This window comes from Homo sapiens, chromosome 7 (genome assembly GCF_000001405.40).
Source record: "Homo sapiens chromosome 7, GRCh38.p14 Primary Assembly".
Taxonomy (NCBI): Eukaryota; Metazoa; Chordata; class Mammalia; order Primates; family Hominidae; genus Homo; species Homo sapiens.
Window position 1 is genome coordinate 5105625 of NC_000007.14, and position 8862 is coordinate 5114486.

Below are 8862 nucleotides of genomic sequence, written 5' to 3' on the forward strand. Positions count from 1 at the left end.
ACCCTAACACTTTGGGAAGCTGAGGCGGGTGGATCGCCTGAAGTCAGGAGTTCAAGACCAGCCTGGCCAACATGGTAAAACCCCGTCTCTACTAAAAATACAATAATTAGCCAGGCACGGTGGCAGGCACCTGTAATCCCAGTTTATTCAGGAGGCTGAAGCACGAGAATCACTTGAACCCAGGAGGCAAAGGTTGCAGTGAGCTGAGGTTGTGCCATTGCACTCCAGCCTGGGTGAAAAGAGTGAAACTCAGTCTCAAAAAAAGAATTCATAAACATCCCAGTCTCCAGAACCATGAGTCAAATAAACTTCTGTTCTTTATAAATTAAAAAAAATGCACCAATGGCTGGGCATGCTGGCTCATGCCTGTAATCCCAGCACTTTGGGAGGCTGAGGTGGGTGGATCACTTGGGGTCAGGAGTTCGAGACCAGCCTGGCCAACATGGTGAAACCCCATCTCTACTAAAAATACAAAAATTAGCCAAGCATGGTGGCACACGCTTGTAATCCCAGCTATTCGGGAGGCTGAGGCAGGAGAGTCACTTAAACCTGGGAGGCAGAAGTTGCAATGAGCCAAGATTGCACCATTGCACCCCAGCCTTGGATTACAGAGCGAGACTCTGCGGAAAAAAAAATATATAAAAGAATTCACCCAACTGAAACCCATGTTTAAAGTAAAGAGAAAATCCTATAAAAAGGGAGTCTTGGGTACAGAAGGCTGGTGGGGCACAGAAGATTCCAAATCTCTCTCTCTCAATCTCTCCTCTCTCTTTTGTAGCCCAGAGCCTGGTGAGCTACCTGAGCAGGGGGCACTCCATCCAATGTCTTCACTTTTAATTTCCCTGGTACCTACAACCTCTGGTCACGTGCCTCATTCTGGTTCTGCACTTCTTTTTCTCTGTGTGCCTCTGAGTCTCTCTTTCAGTCCCTTTTCATTTTCTCCGCATTTGGGTGGGAAGATACAGACTGATAAGAGAGACAGAACGGCAGCATCCCCCTACATACAAGAACAGACTGAAATCAGTCAGTCCTAGGGACAGGTCCCAGCTCAGAGAGAAGCTATATGACTCCTTTACCAAGTCAGTCTCTCTAAGGCTCAGCTTCCTCCACCGTCAATTACGTTATTTTTTAAGAGACCAGAGTATTGCTCTGTCATCCAGGCTGGAGTGCAGTGGCACAATCATAGCTCACTGCAGCCTCGAACTCTCAGACTCAAGCGATCCTCCTGCCTCAGCCTCCCAAGCAGCTGAGACTATAGGCCTGCACCACCACACCCGGCCTCTCCTCTGTAAATTAATAATAAGAATGCCTACTACCACACACTAGTCTTGCAAAGATTAAATAATATCATGCTTGGCCGGGCGTGGTGGCTCACACCTGTAATCCAAGCACTTTGGGAGGCTGAGGCGGGTGGATCACTTGAGATCAGGAGTTAGAGACTATCCTGGCCAACATGGTGAAACCCCATCTCTACTAAAAATACAAAAATTAGCTGGGCATGATGGTGGGTGCCTGTAATCCCAGCTACTCAGCAGGCTGAGGCAGGAAAATCGCTTGAACCCAGGAGGTGGAAGTTGCAGTAAGCTGAGATCTCACCACTGCACTCCAGCCTGGGTGACAGATCGAGACTCCGTGTCAATAAATAAATAAATAAATAGATAAATAAATAAATGTATTGTGCTTATGGTGCACTTAGCCTATCTCTTGCCCATTGTAATGGCTCAACAAATAGCAGTAATAATAACAGCAGCAGGCGTTGCTGTTTTCTGTTCTCTCACTCCCATCGGTATTTAGAGGGAATACGGGGATATTGCCGAGGAAGGGAAAGTTGGAGACAATGTCAGCGTCTCTGGGCCATTGTCCAGGAAAGCACGGAGGAAAAGCTGGGGTTGGGGGCCCGGGGACTGGGAAAGGGGAAAGAGAGATGGGGTGGAAACGTAAAGCCATCCAGGGTCTTGGAAACGGAGCAGCTAGGAGGTGATGCTTGTCTATGGCATGCCTCTGCCACCCAGATACCTGCATTTTCTTCTCTCCCCCACTGGTTATTTACTCTCTCCAGATATGTCTTCCATCCTGAGATTTTCAGCCGGTGTAGACTGTAACAAGCATGTGATGAGCCAGAAGCAAAGTAAAAGGACTAAGGACATCTTGCGATTTGGGTAATTTTTATTCATTAACACTTCCTGGGCCGGGCACGGTGGCTCATGCCTATAATCCCAGCACATTGGAAGGCTGAGGTGGGAGGATTCCTTGAGGCCAGGAGTTCGAGGCCAGCCTGAGCAACATAGCGAGACCCCTGTCTCTACAGGTAATTTTAAAAATTAGCTGGGCATGGTGGTGTGCACCTGTGGTCCCGGCTACTAAGGAGGCTTAGGTGGGAGAATCACTTGAGCCTGGGAGATTGAGGCTGCAGTGAGCTGTGATCATGCCACCGCACTCCAGCCTGGGTGACAGAGTGAGACCTTGTCCCTACAAAAAATAAGACTTCCTAAATACAGGAAGCACTGCAGGAGATGTTTTCTATACATCATTTAAATTAATCGCTAAAACAGGCCAGGCGCAGTGGCTCAGCCTGTAATCCCAGCACTTTGGGAGGCCAAGGCAGGTGGATCACCTGAAGTGAGGAGTTCAAGACCAGCCTGGCCAACATGGTGACACCCAGTCTCTACTAAAAATACCAAAAAAATTTTTTTAAATTTAGCCAGGTGTGGTGGTGCACACCTGTAATCCCAGCTACTCAGGAGGCTGAGGCAGGAGAATCGCTTGGACCCGGAGGCAGAGGTTGCAATAAGCCGAGATCATGCCACTGCACTCCAGGCTGGGTGACAAGAGCGAAACTCCATCTCAAAAATAAATAAATAAGCCGGGCGCGGTGGTTCACGCCTGTAATCCCAGCACTTTTAGAGACCGAGACTGGCAGATCACGAGGTCAGGAGATCAAGACCATCCTGGCTAACATGGTAAAACCCCATCTCTACTAAAAATACAAAAAAGCCGGGCGTGGTGGTGGGCACCTGTAGTCTCAGCTACTCAGAAGGCTGAGGCAGAAGAATGGCGAGAACTCAGGAGATGGAGCTTGTAGTGAGCCGAGATCGCACCGCTGCACTCCAGTCTGGGCGACAGAGCGAGACTCTCTCTCAAAAATAAATAAATAAATAAACAAACCAAAACAATCCTGTGGGTTTAAGGACGTTGCTGATGCTTGAAAATGTTAAAAAATTCCCCCTAAGCTCTCCCGACTCATAAATGAAAGAGTTAAGAGGAAAACGCAGATATGAACCCAAAGCTCCTGTTTGTCCCTTCACTGTGCCCCAGGCGAAGACAAAAGCTAGGCTCCTGCCTCAGGGAACTGGAAAATTTGATCTTGGGGCACTCTCAGTGGCCACAGCCCTTGAGTTCCTCATCAAGGTGGGTAGATGAAGAATCTAAAACCCAGAGAAAAAAATGTAACTTGTCAACATCACATGCCATTCCACAGGCCAGACAGGAACAGAAACCAAGCCTTTAGACTCCAGCCCCCAGACTTCCCTGAGGTGACCCCAGAATTGGATGAAGAAGGCAACCACATCTCAGATTGCACTGTACACTGGCAAACAGCTGTGCAAATGGGCACTTACACAAACAAATTCGTATAGCTAGAAAGAGCTTTTTCTTTTTTCTTCTTGAGATGGAGTCTCACTTTTGTCTCCCAGGCTGCAATGCAGTGGTGCAATCTCTGCTCACTGCAGTCTCTGCCTCCCGCATTCAAGCAATTCTCCCTGCCTCAGCCTCCCAAGTAGCTAGGATTACAGGCGTCCACCACCACACCTGGCTAATTTTTTGTATTTTTAGTAGAGATGGGGTTTCACCATGTTTGCCAGGCTGGTCTCAAACTCCTGACCTTAGGTGATCCACCTGCCTCAGCCTCCCAAAGTGCTGGGATTATAGGCGTGAGCCACCACACCTGGCCCCTTCCCCAACTGTTTTTTTTTTTTTTTTTAAGAGACAGGGTCTTGCTCTGTTGCCCAGACTGGACTGCAGTAGCTTGAACATAGCTGCCTTCAGCCTCGAACTCCTGGACTAAGCGATCCTCCCACCTCAGCCTCCCAAGTAGCTGGGTCTACTGGTGCACACCACCATGCCTGGCTGAATTTTAAATTGTTTGTAGAGACGAGGTCTTTCTGTGTTGCCCAGGCTGGTCTTGAACTCCTAGGCTCAAGTGATCTACCTGCCTCGGCCTCCCAGAACGCTGAGATTACAGGCATGAATCCCTGTACCCAGCTAAAAGAGGCTTTTTGGTATGTACATTGGTCTGAGGCCCTTCTAAGATCTGTGAATGGGTGTCTGTGAATAGGTATCATATTATGCATCACTTAACGCCTGCCTTACTGACTTACAATTCTAAAGTAAACTGATGTCTTCAAACTTTTTTCGAGAAAGGGTCTTGCTCTGTTGCCCAAGCTGGAGTGCAGTGGCTTGATCACAGTTCATAGCAGCCTGGCTCTGCCAAGACCAGCTCGGTCGTGGAGACCCTAACCCAGCGGCGCTAGAGGAATTAAAGACACACACACACAAACATAGAGTGTGGAGTGGGAAATCAGGGGACTCACAGCCTTCAGAGCTGAGAGCCCCAAACAGAGTTTGACCCACATGTTTATTGACAGTAAGCCAGTGTTAAGCATTGTTTCTATAGATTATAGATTAACTAAAAGTATTCCTTATGGGAAACAAAGGGATGGGCCAAAACAAAGGGATGGGCTCTGGCTAGTTATCTGCGGCAGGAGCATGTCCTTAAGGCACAGGTCGCTCATGCCATTGTTTGTGGTTTAAGAACGCCTTTAAGCGGTTTTCCACCCTGGGTGAGCCAGGTGTTCCTTGCCCTCATTCCGGTAAACCCACAACCTTCAGCGTGGGCCTCATGGCCATCGTGAACATGTCACTGTGCTGCAGAGATTTTGTTTATGGCCAGATTTGGAGGCCTGTTCCCAACACGGCTCCTGAAACAAAATGTGTTTTCTTTTTTTAAATACGGTTTACCTTGGAAATAAAAGTATAATTACAAACATAACTTTCCTTTTTTTTTTTAGAGATGAGGTCTTTGCTCTGTGGCCCAGGTTGGAGTGCAGTGGTGCAGTCATAGCTCACTGCAGCCTCAAACTCCTGGGCTCAAGTAATCCTCCTGCTTCAGCCTTCCAAATAGGTGGGACTACAGATGCGTGCCACCATGCCTGGCTAATTTTTAAATTTTTTGTAGAGATGAGGTCTCCCTATGTTGTCAAAGCTGGTCTCAAACCCCTGGACTCGAGATCCTCCCACCTCTGCCTCCCGAAGTGCTGAGATTATAGGCGTGAGTTGCTGTCTGGCACAAACACAACTTTCAATGGAACCATAAAGTATCAGAACCAGAGGCCGCATGTGGTAATCCCAACACTTTGGGAGGCCAAGGTGGGCAGATCACCTGAGGTCAGGAGTTCGAGACCAGCCTGGCCAACATGGCAAAACCTCATGTCTGCTAAAATTACAAAAATTAGCTGGGTGTGGTGGTGCATGCCTGTAATCCCAGCTACTTGGGAGGCTGAGGAAGGAGAATCAGTTGAACCCAGGAGGCAGATATTGCACTGAGCCTAGCTCGCGCCACTGCACTCCAGCCTGGGCGACAGAGCGAGACTCTGTCTCAAAAAAAAAATATCTGAACCAGAAGAAACATAAAGATCATCTATTTGGGCCAGGCGTGGTGGGTCATGCCTGTAATCCCAGCACTTTGGGAGGCCAAGGCGGGCGGATCATGAGGTCAGGAGATCGAGACCATCCTGGCTGACATGGTGAAACCCCGTCTCTACTAAAAATACAAAAAATTAGCCAGGGGTGGTGGCGGGGGCCTGTTAGTCCCAGGTACTCGGGAGGCTGAGGCAGGAGAATCGCTTGAACCCAGGAGGTGGAGCTTGCAGTGAGCCAAGATCGCGCCACTGCACTCCAGCCTGGGCAACAGAGCAAGACTCTGTCTCAAAAAAAAAAAAAAAAAAAAAAAAAAAACATCTGGTCCAACTCTTATTTTCTGGTGAGGAGACGAGCTCATACACTGATCAGCTCACCCTTACACGGTAGATGTTCAAAGATGGATTTCATGGTTCTCAATGCAGTGGCTGTTAGTCTAAGCTCTAAAAAAGTAACCTCAACATACTAACAGCCTCCTGTGAGGAGAGGAACCATTAGTTAAATATCAAGGAATGGCTCTGATGATGAAATGTATCAGCCTGATCCGGTAGTTTGCTGGACATTGGTGGGCATCCACCCTGGTGGGTGTGTAAGTGTCTTGAAGCAGGGCGTCAACCTAGCCAGGTAAGGCTTCTGAGGGAAGGCGAGTTTGTGTTCAGTTTCAAAGGGGTAAAGTTTTTAAAAATTATTTCAATAGGTATTTGGGGAACAGGGGGTGGTTGGTTCCATGGATAAGCTCTTTAGTGGCGATTTCTGAGATTTTCGTGCACCTGTCACCCAAGCAGTGTACACTGTACCCAATGTGTAGCATTTTATCCGCCCCCATCCCAACCTTCTCTCCAAGTCCCCAAAGTCCATTGTATCTTTCTATTTTCTTTTTTTTTTTTTTTTTTTTTTTTGAGACAGAGTCTCGCTCTGTCGCCAGGCTGGAGTGCACTGGCGCGACCTCGGCTCACTGCAACCTCCACCTCCAGGGTTCAAGCGATTCTCCTGTCTCAGCCTCCCTAGTAGCTAGGATGACAGGCATGCGCCACCATGCCCAGCTAATTTTTGTATTTTTAGTAGAGACGGGGTTTCACCATGTTGGCCAAGATAGTCTTGATCTCTTGACCTTGTGATCTGCCAGCCTTGGCCTCCCAAAGTGCTGGGATTACAGGCGTGAGCCACCGTGCCCATCCCATTGTATCATTCTTATGCCTTTGCATCCTCATAGCTGAGCTCCTACTTACAAGTGAGAACATACGATGTTTGGTTTTCTATTCCTGAGTTACTTCACTTAGAAGAATGGTCTCCAACTCCATCCAGGTTGCTGCGAATGTCATTATTTCATTCCTTTTTATGGCTGAGTAGTAGTCGATGGTATATATATACACACCACATTTTCTTTACTCATTGACTGTTGGGCATTTGGGCTGGTTCCACAGTTTTGCAATTTCAAATTGTGCTGCTATAAATATGCATGTCTTTGTCATATAATGATGTATTTTCCTCTGGGTAGATATTCAGGGGTAGGACTGCTGGATCGAATGATAGATCTACTTTTAGTTCCTTAAGGCATCTTTAAAGGAGTACAAAGTCTTAAGGATTGGGGTACACGAAGAAAAAGAGGAGGAGAAGGATGTACCTCAGTTGAATGAGTCCAGAGGAAGGCTGGATGGTTGACCTTTGGCTGGGTGCGCAGATGGACGTGATTCTAGTAATTTGGGGCAGTATTAACCATGAAGCTGATTTATTGCAGGTACCTCATCTGAGATTGATGGTAACTGATGGCACATGCCAAGGGGCATTTTTAGGGAAGGATCCAACAGAATTCGAAACAACTGACTGCAGCACAAGGCGGGAGCCTCTGGCTCTCTGAGGTTCCAGGGCCAGAACCCCAAGTCAGGGGGACAGTGAGAGGAGGCACCCATGATGGAGAAATAAGGACAGCACAACTAATTCCTTCACTTATCTTGAGATGGAGTCTCACTCTATCGCCCAGGCTGGAGCACAGTGGCGCGATCTCGGCTCACTGAAACCTCCACCTCCCGGGTTCAAGTGTTTCTCCTGCCTCAGCCTCCTGAGTAGCTGGGATTACAGGTGCCCGCCACCACACCCAGCTAATTTTTATATTTTTAGTAGAGACAGGGTTTCACCATGTTGGCCAGGCTGGTCTCTAACTCCTGACCTTGTGATCTGCCCACCTCGGCCTCCCAAAGTGCCAGGATTACAGGCATGAGCCAGCACGCCCGGCCATTCCTTCACTTATGATAATTCAGCAAACAACACAGATAAACATAATTCAAATCTTTGATTGCAGGAAACGGAATTTAGCGGAGTTGCCTACATGACAGGGGGATTAGAGGGTGGCACCGAGCCTGCCTGGGGAACAAGAGTCATCACCCAGGACGTGGCATACACGTGCAGCCTTGGAGGATGACTAGAACTTTCCCGGGTGGGTAGATCCAGGAAATGAGAACAGCTTGAGCAAAGTCACGGTGCATTCAGGACGTGAGTCCCTCACTCCAACCGGGGTACGTGTTGCACAAGGGAAGGGAACAAAAGATGATGCAGGGCATGATCTTGTGAAAGACCCCAAGTGCCTTTGTGCGGCTGAGGTGGGTGGATCACCTGAGGTCAGGAGTTCAAGACCAGCCTGCCCAATACAGAGAAACTCCATCTCCACTAAAAATACAAAAATTAGCCGGGCATGGTGGCGGGCACCTGTAATCCCAGCTACTTGGGAGGCTGAGGCAGGAAAATCGCTTGAACCAAGGAGGTGGAGGTTGCAGTGAGCTGAGATCGTGCCACTGCACTCCAACCTGGGTGACAAGAGCGAAACTCCGTCTCAAAAAAAAAAAAAAAAACAAACACGAGTGCCATGCTAAGGAGTGTGGACTCGACCCTGATGGTCGAGAGGGATGGTTAAGCAAAGAATTGATACCTGTGGATCCGAAGGGCTGTTCTAATTCGTGGCATGGAAAAGTGATTCAGAAGTTGGCTGCAACTGGAAGATCAGGGAGGATCTGTTAGGAAAGAGAAAACAGGGCTAGGCCCAGTGGCTCACTTTGGGAGGTCAAGGCAGGCAGGTCACTAGAGGTCAGGAGTTCGAGACCAAGCCAGGCCAACAGGGTGAGACCTTTTCTCTACTAAAAATACAAAAATTAGCCAGGTGTGGTGGCACGCATC